This window comes from Homo sapiens, chromosome 7 (genome assembly GCF_000001405.40).
Source record: "Homo sapiens chromosome 7, GRCh38.p14 Primary Assembly".
Classification (NCBI taxonomy): Eukaryota; Metazoa; Chordata; class Mammalia; order Primates; family Hominidae; genus Homo; species Homo sapiens.
In genome coordinates, this window is record NC_000007.14 from 53,349,357 (window position 1) to 53,376,901 (window position 27,545).

At 35.8% G+C, this 27,545-nt stretch overlaps 1 long non-coding RNA gene and 1 pseudogene across 3 annotated transcripts in view; one reads left to right on the plus strand and one right to left on the minus strand.

The window, feature by feature from the left end:
* The window catches only part of LOC105375282 (uncharacterized), a 70,883-nt gene that overhangs the window by 1,333 nt on the left and 42,005 nt on the right, over positions 1-27,545 (minus strand). For 2 of the 3 annotated variants that reach the window (XR_927269.3, XR_927267.3), the window contains one exon: positions 16,710-16,845. The exons of the other annotated variant lie outside the window; for it this stretch is intronic. This is a non-coding gene — a long non-coding RNA (uncharacterized LOC105375282). The remainder of the gene's footprint in view (positions 1-16,709; positions 16,846-27,545) is intronic. 3 annotated transcript variants of the gene reach the window in all.
* RNU1-14P (RNA, U1 small nuclear 14, pseudogene) lies at positions 16,702-16,855 on the plus strand (annotated as a pseudogene).

The following is a 27,545-nucleotide window of genomic DNA, read 5'->3' on the forward strand; positions in this document are numbered from 1 at the left end:
ATAACTTATTTCAAAATGCAGCATCCCTTATATAATTTGCAATCAGTATTTGTTTGGAATCTTCTAGTTACAGTATAAAAGTGAGCATGCAAGAAATAAGAAGCCTCTTATGTTTCTTTCCTTGTCCATTTTTTTTTCATAATTTTTAGATTAGAGTGAGAAGACTGGGAAGAAAAGGTAAGCTTTGTTTCAGGTGATTTATATCTACCATGTGCTAACACTGACTGCTAAAGTTTGACCATAGCATTAATACTCACAGTTAATAAAAATTAGTTTTTTGTCTCAAAACACAGTCTCTTCATTTCCCTCTTTCTCTCCTTTTCATGTTTCTTATGTTTATTATCTCTTTTCATTTTGCAAAATCCTAAATATTGAACAGACTATGGTCAGAAAATATGTATTTATGTGCTATTATTCACATCCGCAGCTCAACCCTTTCCATATTTCATAACCAGCATATGCCATTATATTGGGCTTGTATTATTTGGGAGAAAATATATGGAATAGCTATAGAATTGCTCAGTAGTTTAGACCTATAGGAGACCTAAGCCAAATAACCAAGGAGTACAGACTTCTTTTTGTTGGGGAGAAAACTGTGGCAGAATATTCTATCAACTTTTTCTAAATATGATTGAACTGGTGGCTTAGATTGGACTTGAAGATATTTCTCCTGTGACTCAGGGTTTCTGGGAAAGCAAAACAGTGAGACTGATATTTGTGTGCAAGAAATGTATTGGGGGTGCTTTTGGGATGAACACATCTTGGGTAATGAAGGAACAAGGAGGACTGGGCAGAGGAGGAAGTGGAAAGCTTTCACGCTCTCACAAGACCTCAGCAGTCACACCGACCCACCCCAGCAGGCTCTGTCTAACTGGAAAGGCACTAGAGCATTGCCTAATGAAAACAAAAGGGATGGCCTTTATCCCCGCTGTTGTTTGGCATCCTATGTGTGCTGCCCCAAAAAGGAGGCATGGTCTTGGGGCAAAGTGGCTGTCTTTAGCAAAGGGAAGTTGCAGAGAGGGTCTCAGCTGAGAGCTGCCTGTGATCAACCTTCTGGGCAATTGGGCTATGAGCACTTTGTCCTCCAGGGGGCGGTGGGAGGTGCACCACCAAGTGCACTGCATTGGAAAGACAGGTCTCTTGTATTAAGAGTGAGACACTCTTAGCAAGACACTGATGTTAACCATCACATTATAAATAATCCTTTGCTGTATATTTTTCATTAGAAATAAAAACTATGCTGAGTAATGTTATTGGAAGAAAATTAATTAGGTAGCTTGGGAAGATTATTTTTTAAAGTCTATCATATTATCTTGATTTAAAAATTAGATTATACAAAGTGTATGGGGAAATATGGAGGTAGAGTTAACTTAATTAATTTTTAAGTGTAATCAGGATGCACTATATTAGTTTCCTAGGGTTGCCGTAACAAATGGCTACAAACTTAAAATAGCAGAAATGTACTCTCACAACTCAGAGGGCCAGGAGTCTGAAATCACGGTGTCAGCAGGATTGGCTCCTTTTGTAGGCTTTGGGAGAGTGTCTGTTCCATTGCCTCTGTGGTCATCTGGCCTTTCCTGTGTTTCTCTGTGTATCCTCCTCCTTCTTATAAGGAGGATACCATTCTTTAGATTTAAGGCCCACTCTAAATCAGTATGACCTCACCTTAACTAATTACTTCTGCAGAGACCCTGTTTCTAAATGAGGTCACATTATAAGATCCCACATAGGTATTTATTTCGGGAGGACACTGCTCAGCCCTCTACATATACATTCAGTGTTCTACTTATTATTGCAATTAACAATATTCGCCATCAAATGTCAATTTTTTTCATTAATACAAAGTTATATTTTAGGTTCATTTCTGTCTGTATACGCACAATTGCTTTATCATAGATCCTGCCATATGTGTCATCATAGCAGATTCTGAAAATGATTAGACAGAAAACAAACACAAAATTGTGCTCTCAGTATCATTCAAAGGACATCAATATACTGAATCTATTGATCATATTTAAGACAACTTGTATTGCAAACGGGGGGTATAGAAAGCACATAAAATATGTTGAACACCGTCATACATTTGGTATGAAATGAACATGAAAGGCAAAATAAACTTCCATTTAAATTTAATCAAATGATCTCTTTTTTTGCCTTGTAAATAACAGAGGCTTGGAAAATTATTTAAGTGAATCATATCTCTTTAAGATATTACACGCAGAAGTTTGATCTCATGTTTTCTTTTTCTGGCTAAGCATTTATTTTATTTTATTTTTTCTCTAGAAGCAGAGATATTCTAATGCATTCCATTGACCTTAGGGTTACCTCATAGTAATTTTCTAGACATTCCATAAGTGCTTACTTACAGTTGCTTCCATCTTCACAAAGATCATGTTTTTCTCCATGAAAAAAAATTTTAAATGTAAGGTCCGACCCAGCATTTCTCTCCTTACTTACTCTCATTTCCTCAAGTTCTTCAGAACTGACCTCAATATCTGACCCATGAAGAGTTACTAGGAAACAGATACCTGCCACAGTGTTGACAAGTAATTCAGCCTTGTTAGTCATGGCACAAATTACTACACCATTAACTCTTAAATATCAAGGACAACTGAAGCTTTAATAGATGGGACACGGGACAGAACTACCTAACAGGTTCAACAGGACTACCTAAGTCAATCAAAACACATTTACTTAGAAATCAAAAGACCTCTCAAATGTCAAAGAACACATTTTAATCAGAATTTGGCTATAACATGCTACTGTCTGGTCTTCAGGTTTCTTTTTGTTTAGGTGTTCTTGAGTTCCTCCCAAAACTCTCTGCTGAAATGTAAGTGGATGACTTCTTCAAATGGAATGTACAATTTTTCCTTTAGATATTTAAATGTGGAAAGATAAACACATATAGAGATTTAGGTGCTAGATAGATGATTGATGGTTAGACAACCTTTTTATAAAAGTCCATAAAGGTAAAGAAGACAGGTGGACACCAAGACACAGAAGACTATAATGAGCAACCTGAACTGACATTGTGAGTTAATGCCAGAAAAAATGGTATTCATCATAGTCTGTTTTCTGTTGCTTACAACGGAATACCTGAAACTGGGTAACTTACAAGAAACAAAATTTATTTCCCAAAGGTAGGCAGGTCCAAGATCAAGGGATCACATCTGATGAGGGCCTTCTTGCTGGTGGGGCCCCTCTGCAGAATACCAAGGCCATGCAGAGAATCACATGGTGAGGAGGCTGAGCATGTTCGCTCAGGTCTGTCTTCCTCTTCTTATAAAGTCACTATTTCCACTCCCATGATAACCCATTAATTCATTAATCCATTAATACATGGATAGATTAATCCATTCATGAGGGCAGCCCTCATGACCCAATCACCTCTCAAAGGCCCCACCTCTCAACGCTGCAAAATTGAGAACAACGTTGCAAGACGAGTTTCAGAGGGGATGAACATTCAAACCATAGCACAGTCACTCTTTTTGCACCTTGACATGTACCCTGAGATAAGTAAATGCTACTTATTTCTGGCAGATGAATGTAAAAATGAAGAGGGTTTTATCTAGTAATCCAAATCTGTAAGTCCTGGTAATCAGATAACAAACTCATTTGGGGATGTGGGCTTATCATTCTTATAAAATATATGTTTTTCCAGGAGAGTCCCGTACCCCAGTAAGGGGGCGAATGGACACTAGAATTAAGAGGTTGGGGGGTTGGCTAGTGCAGTCTGAAGTTAAGGGTGAAGTAGAATCCTATCCATGAAAGTGAAGTCAATAGCACTGAGCAAGAAGTATCCAGAGGATGCATAAAAGGGTGTCAAAGGGAAAGAGGTCAGCCAGATTTAAGTAGCTGCTTGGCCCAAAGAGAGTGAAGCCATCTTAGAGAAACTGATACCTAAGAACGTTACTAAAAACTTCCCAGTTCCAGGAGAAGGAGTAATAGAAACCAGATTTACCTTCTCTCCTGAAACAAACAAAATATGGCAGTGTCTATGAAACAATGGGTTTTAAGACACTGGGCAAAAGGCAGCAAGGATAGAAATCCTGATAGGTGAGAAACAATGAGGTAAGTCTGATTTTTAAAAGAGCTTCCAGGGCAAAATATAAGTATAGTGTATCAGTTATCACTTAGGGTTCTACAGAGAGACAGAGCCAATAGGATGAAGAGTGTGTGTGTGTGTGTGTGTGTGTGTTTGTATATGTGTGTGTGTTTTAAGGCAGTAGCTCAAACAGTTGTTGGGGAGGACTGCTGGCAAGTCTGAAATCTGTGGGACAGGCTAGTAAGCCAGAAGATCAGGAAGGATTTCTTACATTACAGCCTTGAGGCAGAATTCCTTCTTTGAAAACTTCAATTTTCATCTTCAGTCCTTCACCTGATTGGATGATGCCCACCCACATTATCAACAGTAATCTCCCTTGCTTGAAGTCAAGTGTTTGTAAATGTTAATCACATCTACAGAATATTTTCACAAGAATATCTACACTAGATTTTGACCCAACAACTGGGCACTATAGTCTAGTTGAGTTGACCCATAAAATTAAAATTACCATTGGGGAGCCCATGCATAGCTTGGTGGACTCCTGAGGTTGAGGAGTTAGAGCTGAGAGGCTAGGAAAACCATGCAGTTCGGGTTTGCTGGGCACAGTGTCAGAGAAGAACAAACTGCTCAAGGACAGAACACCAGAGAACTAAAGAGGGTACTTGTGATTATTTAGCAAAGTTCTGATAAGCACATGCTTGTGAGAAGACTACCTGAGGCTAGAGAAAGAACTGCCCCCAAATCTGAGAGGTGACCGTTCTTCAGCCAGGTGGAAACTTCATCAGTCATGGAGCCTGCGGTATAGCATGCAGGAAGCCTTGCTCCAGAAATGGGACTTGACCAGCCCTTGGCCAAGAACTATCCTGGACTTATCTAACAAGTCATAAAAGTAAAACCTGAAAGAATCAAACTGCTCTCAAGCAATGTATCTTTATCCCACTACAAACCATAGGAAAAATTATTTGAATGCAAATATATGTAGCATATAGAAATGTAAACCTCACCATAACTTGTTTTCAACTAAAAGTTAACAGATATACAAAAAAGTAAAATTATTATTCACAAGAATAATGAAAATTAATCAATACAACTGAAAACTGGGATAGGTTTTAAAATTAACACAGAAGGATGTTAATACAGTTAAAATAACTGTGTTGCAAATATTGAAAATGATAAGTGGAACTATCTGACATATAAAAAGACCCAAATGAAGACAAAGAGAAGAAAATTATCACGTCTGAGATTTTTAAAAATATAATGCACTTCTGGTATTAACAGTAGATTAGACATTGCAGAAAATTAATCAAGTTAAAAATATAGCAATAGAACCTATCCAAAATGACACACAAGGAGAACAAAACAACTCAAAGTTAAAAATAAAAATAAAAATAAAAAAGAGGGCAACAGAGGGCTGTGAGAAATTAAGCAGTGTAATTACTTGATCAATTTGTATCAAGAGAGCCCCCCCAAATGAAGGAAAAAATTGATACATAAAATATTTGTAAAAGATTACTGACAATTTTCTAAATTTGATGAAAATTATAAATCCACAGATCACAGACACTGAATAAACTCAAAGAAAAAGCAATATGAAGAAAATGACAGCAACTTAAATCACAATCAAATTGCTCAAAACCAGGGATAAAGAAACAGTATTAAATGTTATCAGGAAAAATAAAACCTGCTATTGCTATGTATGGAGTAATGATAAAAGATAATGCCTGATTTCTCACTGTTAAAAATACAAGAGAGAAAACAATAGAAAAGCATTTTTAATGTACTGAAAGGAAAAAAAAATCCATAAACCTCAAGTTTTATACTTAGCAAAAATGTCTTTCCAAACTAAAAGTGAAATACGTACTTTTTTAGCCAAAGTGTTTGAAGGACTTAGTCACAAACGGACTTGCATATCTGAAGTATGAAAGAAAATCTTGTAGAGAGAAGGAAAATGTATAAAATTGAAATAAGAATACAGAAAAAACAATGCAAAACACTGGAAATATGAACTACCTGAGCAAATATACACAATTTGCCATATTTAAAATTTTTAAGATAAAATTGAATGTAAGTATAATTAATAACAATATATTGTAACGTTTATAGCACATCTAAATGTATATGTATGTACAAATATATATAGATATAAGTGTATATATTGTGTGTATGTTGGGTAAAAGTATAATACATGAAAAAATAGCACAAAGAATGTAGATTAAAAAATGGGAAGTACATAATTGTAAGTTTCTTATACTATAGGAATTGTTGGGATATAACATGAAAGACTGTGGTAGACTCTGAAAAGTTAAAGATGTATGCTCTAGACACTACAGCAAATGCTAAAATGGTGAAGAGTTGCAGCTAATAAGCCAGCACATTTTAACTGAATTACAAAAAGCAATTAATTAATCAAAAGAAGGAAGAAAATAGAAAATTAAAAACCCAGAACATGTGGGACAATGGAAGTAAAATGAAAAAATAGAAAATAAATATATAGTAAGATGATGGGTTTAAATGTAACTATATCAATAATTGTATTTAATTTAAATGATAAAAATTGTATATTTGATTATTTAATTTTTACATTTTTATCTGAGGATTTTATTTTGAGAAGTTACCTACAATGTATTTACTAAACAGCATTCTCTCCAACCTCTGTAGATCTTACTTTATCATGTATTTCCTTTTGTAAAACATGACTTTCGCTCTTATTCTGGACTTTATTCTTTATCAGGATTTCTTTCTATTGTATTTTGCTCTATAATATATATTACTTTTACTATTATGGAGGTATGCATGGGAGTAAAAAACAGCTTCCTTCTACCTTCCTAAGTTCTTTGACTGGACTAAAATTAAATTGCCATGGGACAGATTAATACGGAAAATATTTTAATTATGTACACATGAGAATCCCATAATATATGAGACTCAAAGAATGGTCAGATGATTGAAGCTTATATAGCATCCTGAGCTGAGAGGCATAGAATTGTGGGGTTCTTGGGGGGTGGTGGTGACACAAGTTATAGAAGGGTGAAGGGAGGAAAGGTATGGGGCACAAAGATTGTCCTGTTATGCCGATTCAGTCTCTGCAGCTTTAGGAGGAATAAATGATTGAATGGGCATGGGGTGAAATTCTAATGTTCTCTCCAGTGATCCTTTAATCTTTCCTGGTTGAATGCCGAGGGAGGGTATTCATGACAGTTGAGTTCCTTTGGGAGGACCCGTCTTTGGACAGATGAGCAGAGCCCAGAGAAAGCCTCTGCCTGCACTGCCTGTGTTTGCTGTTTCCAAAGTGCCCTCAGTTCCAAGTAATCAGCAGAGCAAAGCATCATATTTTAGGGTGGCATTTTTGTAACTCTTTCAAATTCTTTTAATTTTCCACCTCCTTCTCCAGTTTTACACCTTTTGTCCTTTCAACCAGGCTTTTGCTCGATCCTGGCTACAAAAACTGTTCTCTTGAAAACCCGTAGTAAACATATTAGATACATCCAGTGGCTTTTTCCATTCCTCAGTTTACTGCATTGTATCTTCATTATATGACAGTCTCCAATGCTGGAATATTTCTTTTGAACTCTGCCCTTTCTTTGATTTACATGACATGGGACATGGGACAGCCAGGTTTCTGTCACTTTTTGAGTATTCCTCTTAGCTCCTTCACCAGACGTCTTAGAAAGTACGTTTTCAACCTTCTTTCTTTGATGCTGTGCTACTTTTTCTGAACCACTCTCTATGTGGAAAATTCTTTACCAGTAACTTACATATTTGTTCTCTCTTTCAAGCACTAGTCTCAATATTAATCACTTCCTATTCGTTTCTATGCTAACTTGAACATAAATCCAGAATGTTCCAGACCTATTAAACCTGTTCCCAATTTTAAATTGTGTTTTATATTAACTGTATCATTTTCCAAACTTCACTACTAGATTTTATACTTTTCCATCATCAAATCAATTAATATCAGTTATTATTCCTGAGATCAGTTCTTATACCTGTGCCCATCTCTCAACAATCATATTCATTATGGTAGCAAGTCCAATATATATTAGCTAAACTATTGAAATAGCATTCCAATTTATATACTTGTTTCCATTATTTCTGCCCTCTGGCATATCTAATAAGCAGAAGTCAGATTAATATTTCTATGGCACAATGTTGGCTGTATTATTGCTTTCATCAATGGTGTGATCTTCTTCAGCTGATGTGATGAGTAAAGTGCTCTATGACAGCTAGGACAGACCGCAGGAGAAACATATTGAATGTTCAGTTTTGAAAGTTTGAAAAAAAATCTGGAAACTTGGACATGGAACAAGTTCTGATGTCAAAGCACAAAATATGAGGCAAAGTAAACAAAAATGGATGATTTGTCTAATTACTGGGGAATAGGCTGCATGTACATCGGTGAGGTCATTGTTCTTCATTGTCCTCAAAGGGCTCTGGCCACTTTTCATATTACATCAAAGAAATAAATCATTCCTTCATTGTATTTGAGCAGTCAAATAAAAACTTCCACTTTGATATCAATCTTTTTGCCAATTCTTTATCACAATACTCCTAATACTCTTACTTGGCTCATTAGAGGGGAGATTATTTTAAGTATATTTTAGAGACTTATATATCTGGCCGATGGGCTTCTGGAATGTTAAATCTTTTATGATTAGTGAGTTTGAAGACATATCGTAAGTGTTGAAAGCAGATGTTATCAAAGACAATGTTCAATATAATTTTTGAAATTATTAAAAATAGATTTTATGGTGGTAACTAACAACAAAAATGATAACAATAGTTGGCTTATATTATCCCCTACTATGGTCCAGTCACTATGCAAAAATTTTAATCTGCATTGTACCAAAAATCTTACAAAAATCCATACAGTGGATGACTACTTCCATTCTACAGATAAGCAATCATTTGGACTAAAAGGTTATGTAACTTGCCAAGATCACAGAGTTAAAGTAAAACCAAAATTTAAGCTCAGAGATTAAAGAGATTAAAGGATGTTTTTTGACATTTGGGGCTAGTACAGAAATGCTCCAATAGGCTGTGTTGTATGTATTAGAGGGAAAAACAGGTATACTGCCCCTCTGTGGCTGAGCCCCAGAGTGTGGTGAGGTCCATGCAAAGCAGTGCTCCCCATAGGCCAGGCTTCTTGCACAGGACAGCCTACCCTTCCGGGCTGGCCCTGCTTATTATCCACATAGCTTTTTCAGTTCCTACCTAGGAGTACAGCGTGGAAGAGGACAGCCTGGGTCATGGGTCTCAGAAGTTTTAAGCATATATGGAAAATGCACCCCTGCCAAGAGTGATTGCCAGGCACCCTTGACTGTGTGTCTTATCTGTATTTCAGAGATGTTAAAATGAAAAGCTCTATGGATAAGCAAAACACAAGATATATTGCAAAAAGGCAGGTGAGTATACTGGGGTGTGTGTGTGTGTGTGTGTGTGTGTGTGTATTTCTCTCTGAAAAGAAGTGTTTCAGAGGCTATTCTCAAAATCCCTACCAAAGTAGTAGACAAGAATGTCCTTTATTCGGAACAAAGAGAATCAGTGAACAAGATGATTTTTGATGTGCTTTTTAAATTTTTATTTGAATTTGATTGTCCTCTAAGTTCTTGGGGGAAAATAATATGTTCGGAACTTGAAGAGGCTATGTAGATAATCTATTTTTAGATAGTGTGAGGAAACTTCATCTAACAGCAACCTTAACAACCTTTTAAAATTCAGCACTGGAAAAATCTGGCACACTAGGCAAAAGCATCTTGCTGGTTTTTATGAATTTCTAAAGGTATTTTCAACTAAATTGTCCATTCCTTGATATTTCGAGACCTGTCAAATTAACCAAATTGATTAAAACATTTGTGCAAAGGAAGCATATTTCAAACAATATACTGAAAAGTATTAATGCATGTATTTTACTTGTATATACAGGCAATTTATGTAGTAAAACTATATTTGTCACTTTAATATTATCATTAATAAATATTTTTTACTAATGAAATACACTCATATTCATGGAAATCCATTTTTCTTCTATGTTACACCTAACTCATGACCATCTAGTAATAATATCTATTGTCAATCAAATATGGGAATGGCTGAAAATACGTAGAAACATAGATTGTTGGTTTTAACAAAAGTTATAGAGAACTCCTGGTCAGCAAGTCCACAAATTCCATGAACGTATTGTTTTGGGCATTTCTCAAAGCTTCCAGCACAGAACTGTACACACTTTAGCTGCCCGATCATTATTTTGGGGGTTGATAAATGAAAGAGCTAAAACTATTGCTTGAATGGTACTGCAACATACTTCTTAGGGTCTAAGTCAATCTGTGTAGGGAAAAATCATATTGCCAGATCCACGTGCCCCCATGTACCTTTTACTGGACATTCACAGGGCTGTGTTCTCGAGGTTCTGCAGGATGAGTCCATGAATCATCTCCCAGGATCACACCTGGCATTCACCTCACCATTTAACCTCTCTACTCTGCTTATCACTCACCCTCAAAGGCCAGCTATTCAAAACTTGGCTTCTGGAAAGTAATATCTTTATTCATCTTTTGATTAGGCTCTGCGATATAATTTCCCTCAAAGAACTGGTCCATCAAAGTATTCTGCTAAACAAAAGACTATCTGGAGCTAGGCCACCACCTCGTAGGCTTTATTAGTACTGCTATTTATACTTTAACGTTTTAGCATTGTTTTTCCTTCTTTGCAACCTTATACCCTCCTCAGATTATTTCTCTTTCATCAGCCTCTGTTCGTGTTAACAGTGCCAAGATCTAATCTCGTCTGTTATCTAGAACAAAGCTTTGATCTCAGATCCCTTTGACATTATACTGCTTTATAGTGCTGTTCTGAGAATACTTGGTTGTTATCCCAAAAGACACACAAACGTGGAAGAATGTTAATAATGGAAATGAATGCAGCAGTTTTTCATTCTAGAAATCAGTAGGAAAATTGTGTAATTACAGAACAATGAGAATAAAGACAAAATTGGAAGAGAGAGGAAAGGAGATATTTGGGCCAGGTGGAGGAAGTTAAAGATCATCAGGATTCCATGACTGATTGGATGGTGAAACTGAATGAGAAGTTGTTGACTACTTCTCCAAAGTTTCAGATTTGAATGATGGGCTGGATGATGGTGTCGATCACAATGTTAGATCCTACAAGGGAAAGAATAAAACAAGTTAATGAGTCCAATTTTAGCCATTTTGAGTTTTGATTCAAGTAGAGGAACTGTAGCTCAGAAGAAAGAGTAGGACTAGGAAGTAAAGGCACATGTGGAGCCGGAAAGACACAGCTCTGGATCCTGGTCTGGTCTCTTCCCAGGCACATGGAGCTGCCCTTAGCAAGATGGCTGGGAGTCAAAAAAGCATACCTAGAGTGAAAGTGGAAGCTGCCAGGTCTTCAGGGCCAGGACTGGAAAACGTCAATGTCACTTCCTTGTTCTATTGGTCCAGTAACCTAGACCCTGCCTCTCAATGGGAAAAGGGCCAAAACATCAGTGGACATAATTTAGAACTCCCAAGTAAACATGCAGTTGTTCTTTCTCTTGATTAAATGTTCAGGTGATAAGCCCATAATAGACTTTTATATTTACACTTACTTAGAATTTCTAAAATGTATCCTGTGGCCTCAGATGTGTTTATCTTCCTAAAATGGCTTTTATAAAATATATTCTAGAGGGTTAGCCAATATATTTCTATTGCAACAGATTCTAGAGAATGTATAATAAAATGTAGGAAATACAGAATATAACCGTTTTACATATATATTTTTATGTATTATAACATGTTATTCCATGTCTTTCAAAAGACCTCTGGTTTTAAAAAGGTCTACATTTCTAAACATGTGTTTCCATTTTAATCGATACCACTCCCACCATGCCTAATAAATCTCTAATAATGGCGCTTAAAATAACTAAGAAAGTCGTTGTGCTAAGACATAGTTTATGCGAAGTTGAGAATATTGGCAAAGTGAAAGGACTTCTTTCTCTCTTTGACAACAAGGCATCTTTGCCATTTTGTCACTGGTGGGCCACAGCTTGTTCTAGCCTCTTAGATGAACGTTATGTAGGGTCCATTCCCATTCTTCTGTGTGAGATTTCATGTTTTAACATCATAGATGTGGAAGGAGACCATATGTTAAAGTAGCTAGAATGGGAAGAGTAATGTAATTTCAGTGCATGGTGTTTGCATTGGAGGAAGCAGTACTGAAAATCTCACCATTCTAGATTTTTTCTCCTGTAGATTAGAGGCCAAGATCAGAGTTACCTGGGGATTTTCATCATGGAACTGAGTAACAGACACTGCCCACACTGAGCCTTAATTTTGTTCTTGTTAGTAAATAGCCTGCTTGTAGTGGCACTTAGATATAAAATTCCTTAAAGATAAGCAGAACAGTATTGCATGAAGATTTTAACAAGTTTTGATTCTTAAAAAGCCCCACAAATAATCTAACATGGTATTCCAAATTCCATTTTGTAAAAGTTTTATATAACGTAGCACAGGCTCATAAGGGCTCATAAAACAGATGCATATTTTAAAGAATAATAAAAGAACATCCTGTTCCTGTCCCTCAGGCTGAAAAACATCTCATGCCTCTGCTCTATGCATGGTCCTAAGCCTGTCCTAACTCCTGCCATCTTTCTCCCTTTCTCACCATGGTGATCTTGTTCCTGAACTGGCTTTGCTAATAAATCTCTTTATATTATTGTTCCCTTTCTCTATGTGGAAAATTTCTCCTGTTTTTATATACGTTTTTTTAATTTGGAAACACTCTGTATGCCTTGCATTGTGACTCCTCTCCCAGTATTTAGTACTTGAGATTCAACCATGCTGGTTGAAGTCATCTACTTATTCATTTCCACTGCCTACAATATTCCATTGTATGTTAATATCTCAATGTAGTTATCTGTTCTTCTGTTGATGAGGAGTTGAAATGTTTGGTGCACATATGGGAGAGTTATTCTAGGTTATAAATCTAATAGTAGACTTTCTGTGTCATAAAATATGTATGTTTTCAAATACTTGACGTTGTAATGGTTAATTTTATGTGGCATCTTGACTGGTCCACAGGGTGCCCAGATATTTGGTCAAACATAGAGTGTGTCTCAGAGGGTGTTTCTGGAGGAAATTAACATTTGAATCAGTAGATAAATTTGACACAGCAGCTAAAGTGTGTGGGCCTCATCCAATCAATTGAAGGCTTGATTAGAACGAAAGCCTGGATAACAGAGAACTTTGCCTGCCTGAATGCTGATCTCAGACATCAGTCTTTTCTTTCCCTCAGACTGAACTTACACCTTTAGCTCTTTTTATTTCTCAGGCTTTTGGACTCAGACTGGAACTACACCACTAGCTTTCTTGGGTCTCCAGCTTGCTACTGTAGACCTCTGGATTTTTCAGCCTTCATGAGGTGAGCCAGTCTCTGAAGAAGCCTGACTAATACACGAGGTAAATTGCAAACTCCTTTGCAACTTTTTCCTATGTGTTCCTAGTTTGCCTTCAATGCCTTGATAACCACCAAAAAACCCCACAAAAAAACAAAAAAGAAAACAAAAAAAAACCCGAGACGAATAACTCACATATGCCTTCCTAAGAACTCAAGGCAAAATTGACGACATACTTTATCTTCCCATTGGGAAGATTTTGAGAGTAAAAATGAATGTTAAAATGACTAAGATTATGCATATTTCTGAAAATATTTATTGAAAACACATGTTCATTTTGTTGGTGAAACTAGAAAATTGTTCTACTCAAAACTGTTTTCAAAATGAAATTTCTTATTAAGTTAAAATAAATTAAAGGTATCCATTAAATAAAATTTACGTTTACTAAAAACAGAGTATGTGAGTGTCAGTTTACCACATACTCACCACCACTTGATAATGTCAGACTATTTCCTCTCCCCTAATTGGGCAGATGTGGAAAGATATATCATCATGAATTTTACTATGAATTTCAAGCTAGCTAATGAGCTCGAGTAGCTCCTCACCACACCACTTAGTCAAATTGTCTTTTGTTTCCATCTTAAAACACGGGATCAATGATCACATCGTTCAGTCTGAAGAGGCAGCACCCATCACTTGTCTATGAAGAACTTCTCTCCATTTCCTTAATTTGCATTTTCCCTTTTCCTCTGTTCTCTCAGCTGCATCCCTTTCCTTCACCATGCAAACCTCCTAAGGTGTTTGAGGTTACTATTTCATTTCAGCCTTTCCAATAAAACATGTACTGCTTTTTACATGTATTCCAAATTTATGTAAGTAATATTGACCTTTATATATTCTATTCCCAACTTTTTTCACTCAGCTCTATTTTTTTCCTAAGATTTCTCCATGTTTCTGTGTCTAGAAACAATTTCTTGATCTATAATGGACAAATGGGACTATACACACACACACACACACACACACACACACATATATATATTTTTTAAATTTATTTATTTATTTTTTTTGAGACGGAGTCTCGCTCCATTGTCCAGGCTGGAGAGCAATGGCGTGATCTCAGCTCACTGCAACCACTGCCTCCCAGGTTCAAGCAATTCTCCCGTCTCAGCCTCCCAAGTAGCTGGGATTGCAGGTGCCTGCCAACACACAGGCTAATTTTTGTATTTTTAGTAGAGATGGGGTTTCACCTTGTTGCTCAGGCTGGTCTTGAACTCCTGACCTCAGGTGATCCGCCCATCTCAGCCTCCCAAAGTGCTGGGATTAGAGGCATGAGCCACCGTGCCTGGCTGGGACTATATTAAATGAAAAAGCTTCTGCACAGCAAAGGAAATAATTAACAGAGTGAAGAGACAACATGAGTGGGAGAAAATATTTGCAAACTATTTATCTGACAAGGGACTAATATCCAGTGTGCAAGGAACCCAAAACACTCAACAGAAATATATATATATATACACGTATATATACGTGTATATACGTGTATATATACGTATATACATGTGATACACGTATATATATGTGTGTGTGTGTATATATATATATATATATATATATATATATACACACACACACACATATATATGTATGGCATTAAAAAGTAAGCAAAGGACCTGCTGGTCACTGTGGTAATTGCCACTTTCTGGATTCCAGCAGTTAAGAGCTGCACCTAGCCTCTAATGCTTTGGGGCGTGTTTATATATATTTGAGCCCAAAACTGTAACTCCCTTTTTTACTATCAGCTGTGGCATGCAGAGGACAGTTATGACCGAATTTGTTAGTAATTCCGGTGCCTGCCTCTCCAAAGCATTCTGAATGGCCTTGGTGAATAATGTGTCCTTTGGGCATTCCCAGACAACACAAAATTTAGGTGAGTTTTCTGGTCTTATGCAATATGCCCATTCCAGAATTCCCATATTTCTCAATTGTCAGCATTTCTTCTAACATTTTCCAAGGGAACTGGAACATTTCCACGTGAATCTATGGTGGCCATCTCTTCTAAAGTCCACTGTAGCAGTTAAGTTTCCCCTTTGACGTACAGTCAATTTCAAGTCCGTCATTCTCTGCGTCGGCTGATGCTGGGTGTTACTTCTAGCTATGGTCCTGTCAGCTTTGGGAAGAAGTGGGCTATTCTCCAGGAGCACACCTAATGCTTTGTCGGGTAGAGGCCTCTGCAGCCACGACCTCCAGCTTGAAGGCAGTCCCAGCTTTCACCAGGGAAGAATGGGCTGCTTCTGCAAGCCCTGAGGGCTGCAGGAAAGAGGGTACGCATTTGTAAACTCAATGTCCTCAGGAGAATCTATCCAGGTGTTGTTGTAAAACCCCAAGTTCAAGCTTGTGTCGCCAATGTACAGCTGATGCAAACACACTGACATACAGGTGCTTCGAAAAAAAGATTTATTCAATTTGGCCAAAGCAAGAAGATGGTGGGATGGGGCAAGATCTCACAAATCTATCTTAACAGAAAGAAGCAGCACACAGTTTTTGTACAGCTAGAGAGTAAGTTGGAGGAGTTTCAGGGAACTCCTGAAAGAGGAAAAGTCTGTGTTTGTTCAGTCTCAGATAGCACCTTGAGCAACCAGACTCGTGGATGTCAGTAGCTGGTCACAATTTCCCTAAATGCACTCATCCCTTCTGCAAAGATTTTTCATGACCCTGAAGTCATCTCCTATGCTTAACAAAGAAACAGGACATCAGCAGGGAGCTCACCACCAGCAACTGGTGACCATCGGCAAGCAGTTAAAGGCTGAGGGCAAGAGCTCACAGAGAGACTCTTATTTCTGGCACACAGTCAAGAAGCAAAGTGAGGACCTGAGTGGGTCACAGAGCTTCACCTGTGTCTTACAGTTATCTTTTCCCTTGAATTAGTAAATGTTGCTATTGAGTAAAATCTCTGAGTCCTATGGGTCTGACTTGACATTGTCACTTTCGGTGTTATCTTCATTCTGTTATAAGAGAAAACTTTCGCTAATAGTTAAATGCTGCCAGGTGTAAATTAGTGTCATCAGTTGCTTCAAACAGAAAATAAGCTCAGTTAATTTCAAAATTAGTTCAAAGATTTTTTATCTGATTTATGAAATAAAAGAACTATTTTGGAAATTCATTCATTCAAAGGTACAATATAAGATATTTTATGAAATTTACTTAAAAAGTTCAAGAATAAACATCATGGTAGAACAATATTTTTCCTAAATTAAGAAAATGGTGAAGCATACTTACCTGGCAGGGGAGATAACCATGATCACGAAGGTGGTTTTCCCAGGGCAAGGCTTATCCATTGCACTCTGGACATGCTGACCCCTGCGATGTCCCCAAATATGGGAGACTTGACTGCATAATTTGTGGTAGTGAGGCACTGCATTCGCAAAAAAAAAAAAAAAAATGCATACATATAATTTATAAGTCCAACATGCTCTGTTTTCTTAAGTCAAATAAAATAGAAGCCATAGTTGTTATGAGTAGACCTTGCACAGTACACAGAGCAGTACAGTTTAGGGCCAAGAAAATGGGATTCAGATGGGGAAAAGAGATGTAGGAGTCACCTTGACTAAAACTTTCATTCCCCAAAGTGCCAGTAGCTCTTGTGCACAGGCTTATAGGTCCATAGGTATAATTACCAGTGTTCCCAGAAGGGATCAGCCAGTTCCAAGAGTCACTGCCCTCAGGGAGGCCCAGGGAGACAGCTGCCATCATGGTTCTCCCTGTCCAGGTTCAATCTACTGCTCAAGGGTGATATTGACTAGGAGTCATGTGGCCTAGCTGCATATCTGACATACCACTATATCAATTTACCGGGGAGCAGAGTTAGAAAGTTAACTTCAGGTCAAATCATCACATAGAAGAAGGGGTGGGAGGATTTTATGCCTAGAAACAAATAGAAACCTAGAATCATAAAATAGAGATAATGGATGACATATTAAGCTTTTTACACATTGATTAATAATGTTTGCTATTAGATTATATTTAATCGATTAGATTACAAAAGTTTTAGTTCATCCATGAAATAAGCCTATAATTTTTCCTTCTAATATTCTCTTTGGCTGGTCATATTTAAGAGAAATTTTGAAATTTTAAAAATCTATTTACATTTAGAAAAATTTAACCAATATTGTTCTGTTTGGTTTTGTCTAAGTCCTGGTCCTATTCCCATTCTTTGATTATTTTGCAGCGAACTCTACAACTCTGCACATGTAATTCTAGTTTTCTGTAGGCATTACATTATGTGTATCTAAAAGATAGATTCTTTTTGATGAACATTGCTGTTATATCATTATCATTTCTAAAAATACAACAATAATTCCTCAGCATAACCAAATACCCAGTCAGTGCACATGTTCCCTAAATGCGGGGGGGGATGTTTTTCCCTAAAACTCATCTCAAACTTATGTTAATTACTTTTCATTGGGCCCATACTTGGGTTCTTAAAGCTGAAAAAAATAGTACAACTGAATATCTATTTAAAAATTATTTTCTTAATTTTCTATTTTTGTTTTGGTTCAAACAAATTTTCAAACATTAACCTTGAATTTTATATAAGACTGTAATACCCAGAATGAAAAAAACCTGCAACAGGTTTTATCTTTTTGTCCGGAATGCCCTGATGTTGATGAGTTTGATGGGTCTTCGAGTTGTGCTCTTAGAAAGCACTGAGGAGGCACCAGGACAGCGTAAGGACTCGGCTGCCTGAACTCGGAAAGGGAGTTGAGGGTGAGGCCATGTCTTTCTTGCAGCCAGGTGGGTGTGGGGAAGAGCAGGGCAGGGTGAGACAGCCCTCTGTGTGAAGCCACATGGGCAGGCTGGGGACTTGGGTAAAGGGGTGGAGATTTGTACGAAGGCAACATTTTGAGTAGTATAAACAAAGTTGCTCTTGTCCAGAAAACCCTAATAGGCACTAATCAGTGGGGAGAAAAGAAGGTTCTTCCAAATGGCCCAGAGTGGCCAGGACTAATGTTGCAGGGAGTTGAAAGGAAGTTTTGTCCATTGCTTCACTTAAACAGAATGTGATGCTAGGGAGACATACAGAGGCCTTTCTTTGAATATGGTATTCCTGGGTGTTCTGTTAAGATTTATAAACTGATACAGCTATCACCTGACTAGATTATATTTTTCTACACAATGGCAAAAGGTTTTTTTGTTGCAGAATTAAAAGAAAGAGAATTTTAAAGTCTAACTATTCAAACTAAAATTATAAGATACAAACTGTTTCAGTAGAATTATGAAGCAGAAGGATTAATAGGCAGCCCTAAAAATGTGATATGAAAACCTCAGAACTATACCTTAAAATATAATTATGAGCATGCTTGACAGACATTTGAGTTTTGTCTACAAATTTCAGCATGCAACCGTGGCTCGCAGGAAGAACCCAACTACCATGCCCAACAACTCCTCCGCCACAAAAGCCTTGCCTCGGGGGGCACTTTTTCTTTGAAATAGTATGGTTTCTGCCACCAATGAATTTAATATCTAAGAGAATAGAAAACGCAGATATAAATTTTATGTTTACTACCTTAAATACAAAAAAGGATTAGAAACAACTCTTTTAGAAAAAAAACAAAATTGCATTTTCATAATTATTCAAAACATCATTCCAGTGCCTGGCCCAGATACATCCAAGAGGGTTCCTTTCAGGAATGTTATTCTCATTGGGATGGCTTCATGTAGTGGGTGAAATGGGTCCATGATTCTGCACTAGTCCTCTTTCCCAAGCCTACCTCAGCAGGTGCCTAGAGCTGCGGGACAACACACTGACGTCAGAGAGCTGAGATTCTTGTAGAAGTTGTGATTCTGTGGCATCATGATTCAATATAGCTCATTTCAGAATCAGGTGAACATTCGTTACAGTTCAGCTCAAGTTCAACTCCAGTGATTTATTTAGTATATGTGGATAAAAGAGCTCTCCTATTCTATTGCTTGTCAACATCCCTTTCAAGATGAGCTCACTTCCATCAAAATCAAAATGGATAGCTCAAAATCAGTGGCTTAAAAATCATTATGGATAGTAGAGTCAGGGTAATTATATGAAATTCAGTGGCATCTGCTTAGGAAATAGCAGCCATTAGAGTATATCAGCCAATTGATATTTGAAGCCTCCTTTTTGGGTGGAAGACTCCCAAAGAGAGGATAACCTGAAGTGCCATTTGTTTTTTCCCCCAATTTAGCAATTAAGGTTAATGTCAAGATTACAAAGAGGCAGGATAGATCACAGCTGAGAGACAGTGGAGTTCTATTCTCCCGCTGTCCATCATGTGTGCCACATTTGCCAGGGAGGTGAACCATTTTCAGTCACACATGTCATATTTGTTCAGGTAAGTTATAGTAATGATTCTAATGAAAGTTTTATATATTATAATATATAACTTTAGAGAATATATAATTATATGTATATATGTCTATAACTTATGTAATTATATATAATATGTGCTTATGCTTACATATGATAATGTAATTCTCTCTATATAGAATATATATATTATATGTGAGTATATATATACTCCAACTGTTATTTATATATATATATATTCTCTCTATATATTTGAGCTCTCAAAGAACCGCTATACACATACACACACACACACACACACACACACACACACTCTCTCTCTCTCTCTCTCTCTCTGAGAACTCCAAGAACTGCCATATATATATATATATATACTCCAACGGCTATATAGCAGTTCTTAGAGTTCTCAAAGGACTCCAAAATAGTTTACGTTAAAAGTTAATGCATTGTTTCTGGCACTGAGAACTACTGGTTTCCAGGGATGCTAGAGCAACTTTCACCAACCCATTTTTTACCCATTAGCAGATAAAAGAGCTCTTTTTTACTATGCTGCTTTAAACAATTATGCACTCCGCAGTACATCACCTATAGATTTTTAAATAAGTGTTTTTTACTTTAGCTTTATGTAGAAATAGCATCTAGTTCATGATTATAGCCAAGATACTATTCAAAGGTGACTCAGGGTAATAAAAAGTTGGTGCTTAGTATTTGCCAATGATCAGAAGACAGCCTTATGCTAGTCTGAGGAACCAACTATCTCTTTCATCTACAAGGAAAAGAATCTGTAAATGAAAATAGCAGACATGCTTGTTATTTTACGTCCACCTTTGATATAAAAAAATAACAAAATGTTTATGAGTATTAGGCAATATTTGAAAAGGAGAAGTCGTCAAATTTGTCACAAGGTTGGGTAGTCAAGTTCTTAGGAATCTTTGACTGACCATTGATGTCACAATGATATGTCTTGATATTGATGACTTCAAACACAAAATTATTCCACAAAAGTGATATTAAATAATCGTCGCACCACTGCAGCATTAAAACATTGATAAAGACAGAGAATGAAGGTGGGAAAATGAGGAAGAGTTAAATACAAAATCAAAATACAGAGGTTAGAGAAAACAAGAAAATCATTCTCTTACTTTCATCACGTAAAATGAGGAAACAGTATATAGCAAGCATTTTGCAAAATATGTAGGAAATAAAGCCAATAAAAAAATCCATTTTTAAAAGCTACATTGAGAAAGTGCTTTCAAATGCTCATGCCTCTGATTAGTAATAGGGACCTCCAGCAGGGAGCCACTGGCGCAAACTGAACGCGGTCAGGGCAGGAGTGCTGACCCAGCTGGATGCAGTGCAGGGGCTCTTTCCTGATATCACTGGGTGGTTCGTGATCTCACCCTTATTGAAGCAAAACTGAAAATTTGTATTAGATGTAGTCTGAGCAGCCTCCATAGGCTATTATGTGTATGCATATGTGCTTGCTATTTTACTAAAACGTGTATGCGACATATGCATGGTAATTCTCAGCAAAACTTTTGCCTTCTTTGAAATCAAAAGCACCATGAGATACCATCCTCACCCAGTCAGAATGGCTATTACTAAAAAGTCAAAAATCAGCAGGTGCTGATGAGGCTGTGGAGAAAAGGGAATACTTACACACTGTTGGTGGGAATGTAAATTAGTTCAACCACTGCGGAAAATAGTTTGGAGATTTCTCAAAGAACTTACAACTGAACTACCATTCAACTCAGCAATCCCATTACTGGGTATACACCCAAAGGAAAATAAAACATTCTACCAAAAAGACACCTGTGTGCATATGTTCATCATAATAGTAAAGACATTCACAGTAGTAAAGACATGAAATAAACCTAGATGCCCATTAACAGTGGACTGGATAAAGAAAATGTAGTACATATACACCATGAAATATTATGCAGCCATAAAAAAGAACAAGATCATGTATTTGCACAACATGGATGCAGCTAGAGTGTATTATCCCAAGTGAATTTAAGTAGGAACAGAAAACCGAATACTGCATGTTCTCAATTGTAAGTGGGAGCTAAACATTGAGTACTCATGGGCAACAAGATGGAAATGATAGCTGCTGGGAAACACTCACATGGAGGAGGGGATGGTTGAAAAACTGCCTATCAGTTACTATCCTCACTACCTGGGTGGCAGGATCATTTGTACACCAAACCTCAGTGAGACACAATATGCCCATGTAACGAACCTTGCACATGTACCCCGAACCTAAAATAAAAGTTGAAAAAAAATTGCCATCTTTGTAAAATGAGAACTAAATAATCTTTAGTTATATATTTATGAGTTTACTAGGGCTGGCCATAACAAAGCTATGCCCAAACAACAGATTGTGTGGCTTTAACAAAAGAAATTAGTTTTCTCACAATTCCAGAGGCTAGAACTCTGAGATGATGATGATGATTATTCAAGCAGAGGCCTCTGTCCTTTGCTTGAACATGGGAATCATCTTTCTGTATCTTCATATGATCTTCCCTCTGTGTGTGTGTATGTGCTAATCTTCTCTTGTTAAAAGTCATATTGGATTAGGGCCCCATTTTAACCCCATTTAATGACTCCATTTTAACTTACCTATGTCTTTAAACATCTTATGTCCAAATACAGTTTCATTGAGAGATACCAAGGTTTAGGTCTTCAACATATAAACTTTGGCAAGACAACTCAGATCATAACAATAATCTGTATATAACAGACATAATAATTGTATATAACAGATATATCCATATAATCTAATTTCTATACATCAATATTTATAAATTTTATTGTCTTTAAGATGCCTATATGTTCATTTTGAAAATAATCTAAGACTCTTCAGTGTGTTTTATAAAGTTTATAAGAAAATAATGACACAAAAATATATTTCTAAAACAATGTCAATGATCTTGAAAAATAATAGATTATGTGAAATAAAGTTTTAGTCTAAAAAGGACAAAATTAGTTGTTATATCTTTGGAAAGACAGAAGGTAGATTGCATAGATTCTATAGATCTATACCAGTCACTCTGATGTAATCATGCCCAATATCTAGCTTTGGTTATTAAAATATATTCACACACACACACACACACACACACACACACACACACAAGCACTTTCCATCACTAGGGACAAACATCTATTCTCTAACACAGAGTACATTTAACTTATATTTTTATAATCTTGTAATCAGTACTAGACAGACACACATTTGGTAGACATCGAATTTCACCAAAGGATTGAATACTATTTCTCTTAAGTTAATGAAAAAAATGGAAGCATGTATGCTACATACACTGTTAGACTGGTTCATTCTTAGTAAATTCCAAGACAGTAGACTTTAACATGGAGGAGAATCGCACAAGTTGTATTTTGTAATTCTGTCCTTCACCCACAGTTATTATTATCTATGATTCAGCTGAGGGCATTGATAACATTCTATCTTTAAGATTATGAAACAAATGGAATATAATTATTCAAAATAATTTTGAAAGGCAAAACAATAAGATGAATCGTATAATGACAATAACTAAAAAGCTTTATTCATTCTAGGAAAAACTAATTCAAAAGTGTGGGATCAAAATACTTATAGGAAATATAGGTGGAAGTAATTTGAGTATACAACATCAATATTTTTCAATAGTGTGATGAGCTTATGGTAATTTAGGTTATGGTACAGAATGAAAATATGTAGATAAGAGCTCTCTGGTTCCTCTTAAATCTTGATCAATCAAACAACAATGGGTATAATACATTTCGTTCCAATTGTAAGACACTGTGAGGAATACATAAAGATTTTTAAATGCAGTTTAAAGAGTGACAAGGGTTCTTGAAACAAACAAAAAATGCTTGGGATTATTTACCCTTGTGATGTGCACATACAAGTGCTACAGCTATTTAATTGATTTATTTTCTGTCAAAATAAGAAGCTTAGAGTGACATAGTGGATAAAAATGAAATTCATATTTGTGTTAGCTCAATAAAAAGATTTTCTGAACCGAGTGTTGGATAATGACACATGCCTGTGTCTGTAAGCATTGAAAGAGATCTTTACAATATTGTATAAGGAATTTGAAAAGATTTTATTTAAGTTCCCTTCTAAATGTAGAATGTTATATTAAATTATGATATAGGTCAGAGAAGAGTTCTGATTAATATTTATAGTTGCTTTCTTTAGAGGACTTAATGCATAAACTAAACTCACATTGAAGCCCTGAACATGCAGGGTGATAATCATCTCAGGTCATTTCCATGACATATATTTAAAGTTTCTCAAATTATAAACATGTTGTACTTGATATATAAGAAATATACTTTTCAGACATTTTAAACTTTTAAAAAATTTTTGAATAATGCTAGATTCACTGAAGAATTGCAAAGATAGTATGAAGAGTTCCCAGGGACGTTCCCTTAGCTTCCCCTAATGTTAACATTTTACACAACTGTAATCCAAAATTATTAAATTAATGCAAAATTAAAAAATTACCATTGGCATAATACTATTACCTAAACAGCATCTTTAGATTTTATGAGCTTCCCGATTAATATCCTTTTATTTCTCCAGGATCTGACTTAAGAGACTGCATTGAATTCAATCGTCATGTCTCCTTAGTTTCCAGTCTGTGAAAATTTCTCAATCTTCCTGTTTACATAACCTTGAGAATTTTGAAGAGTATGGTTCAGGCATTTTGTAGAATGTCCCTCAGTTTGAGTCTCTGAAGTTTTATCATGGCTATATTGGAGCTATAGGTTGTTTTTCAGAGCATCATAGAGATGAAGTGTCTCTATCACATAAAATGTGAGAATATGTGACACCAACACAGCATGACTTATCACACAGCATTCACCTTGGTCACTTGATTAAGGCATTGTCTGGCATAAAGTTACTATCCTAACTTTCCAGACTATGTCCTTGAAAAGAGAATCACTAAGTCAAACTCACACTCCAGGAAAGAGGAATTAAGCTACACCTCATGGTGTTTGGAAGGAAGTTATTTTCATATTTTATTTGAATTTTCCTGTAAAGAATTGTGTCTTTTGCCAATATATTTATTTAATCACTTATTTACAGCAATATGAACTTTCATTCTTTGAAATGAATATTTCATTCTTTGAGATCTCTACAACAATACCATTATTATTATTATTCAAATTCAAATTCTAGATTTGTACATTGAGGGATTTTTTTAGGTTATCTTCTGTGTCCTTTAGAAATGCCTCTATCTTTTTTCTTTCTTTCTTTCTTTGGTAGAAACAAAGCACATCTTACTTTCTGACATAACAAGATACTACAAGCTCATCGTGTATTTATCATCCCAACTCTAAAATCAGCTCTTCTTCCAAAATTTCTGTTTCTTTTAATTGGAGGGTGGCATTTAGAAACCAAAATCCGGGCACTAGGCGTGTTCATTGCTGCTGGGGGCTCACTGCTTCTAGGCACTCTTGGCAAACAGAGCTAAGAGATACAGGTATGTATAGCAGCCCAGGTATACATTCATATTTGTATTTATTTGTGTGTTATCTAAATATACATTAAGATAAATGAGCTTATACTGATACTTCCAAAGCTAATTCAGCACCATAGGATTGATTTTATTTGTCCATGATGTTTATGAGTAACTTCTTCTTCTGAAAGTGAGAATCCTAGCCCCTGTTATTTATGATTTATTTCCTTATTTCTTCAACTCTAGTATATGTGTAAAATAGTTTCAGAATTGGCAACATATATCCCTGTAAGAAGAAAGTTTGCCAACTAGGGTACAATGTTTTTGTACAGTTTCTTTTATTCTTAGCTTCCTGGTGTTCACTGGAGATACTGTTTTCCAAAGGAATTTAGGTCACTTCCTTTCTCTACGCCCTCTTAAGTGACATATTTAATGCATTTAGGCTAATTTTTTGCAGAGTACATTTTATTCTTGGATCCACTGACATCCTGCTTTTTAAAAAATTGTACACAGTAAAATGTATAATGTACATTTCTATTGGTTTTGACAAACAAATGTAGTTTTTATCAAGCACCATTATATCATACAGAACAGTGTTTTTATTATAAACATTTTCTTTAGAATTAATCCCTTTATTCTCACTAACCGCTGAATTATATTCTGCCTCTATCATTTTGATTTTTTTCTTATTGTCATACAAATGAAATCATGCTATATGTGGCCTTCTGGGTTTAGATTGTTTCACCTAACAAAATGCATTTAAAATTCATTCAAATTGTTGTGTAAATTGATAGTATTTTTCTTTTTCTTTTTGAATACTAAGTATTCCATTGTATGGGTATATGACAGGCTGTTAATTCATTCCGTCTTGAACTTCCCAGCTTCTAGAACTGTAATAAATAAATTTATGTTCTTTACAAACCAGCCAGTTTCTGGAATTGTTGTTATAGCAGCCCAAGTGGACTAAGACAAGTGGTAGACTTACAGTGGGTGAGCTTTATGGTATATGAATTATATCTCAATAAAGCTGTTAAACATAAAAAGAAAAAAAAGCTAAAAGTGATTTTCTTAAAAATTAATTAAACCAATAATTTTAGTGAGGCAGAACAAGAAAAAGAAAAGGAGAAAACACAAATTACCAATATCAGGATTGAAAAAGAAACTATAACTACATGTCCTACAGATATTAAAAAGGTAAGGAGGATATCTTATTTTTTAGTAATTATGAACCAAGTTGCTACAAATATTCACACAGGCTTATATACATATACGTATACGTATACGTATACATATGCATATACAATAGTACCTACTCATGTTCAATGAATAGGTTATTATTTTTTCATGTGACATTTTCAGAACTTAAATCATTTTCATTCAGCATAAATTTCACTATAAATCCTAATCCATAATGCCAATAGGATCAAATAAAAAATTGGGTGGTCTTTTTCTGTCTAAATCACATTTTATGTTAACAATATTTATATGTAAATTTTGCTAAAATAAATGTCCGCATTTTTTGTTGTTGTATTTGTGTGGTTGCAGCTATACATGTTTTATAAAAATAAATAGAGATAAGAAGGGGCTAGGAAGATTAATTGATTGAGATAGCAGTAAGGATATTTTATGGTTGGTGGAAGAAAGTTAAATTAAAATTTGAAAATAGTCCTGAAATGCTCCGTGAGAATAATGGACTAGAATGCAAAAGAAGTACTGGTAACTAATGATGTATTTTTGGATAGATAAGATCAAGAAACATTGCTGAGGAATCTGAAACCAGATTTGAGATTTCACCTATAGGGTAAAGAAACTATTTTAGAATACCTGTAAATTCTTGCACTAATATATTTGGATTCTAGGATCACACTTCTTTCTTATAAATCAATTTCTCTCACAATTATTTATACCATTATGGCGGAAGTAATTTGTTCCATACCTAAACAGAATTACATTCTATTTACACTAGAAATCAATCTATGATGGATGATACAGTAATAATGTATTAGAAAGTACCAAATATGTATCTATTGTACAAGTTTAAATTATCTTTAGCATTATAACAACGACCATAGGGTTATTAAAATTCTTATTCTACAGCTCCCAAAACAATTTATTTAAAATCCTTGAACATTAGAAAACAATAAATTTTATTTTTCCCACTCTGTCCTTGAAGATCTTAATTGCTATTCATCCATAATAAATGTAAGGAAATGTAAAAGCAAATCAAAATAAAACAAAACAACAAAAACTAGAAGAACTGGTGGACCAAGAAACTCTGAGGGGAGGTTGCCTGAATTTCATTAGCCA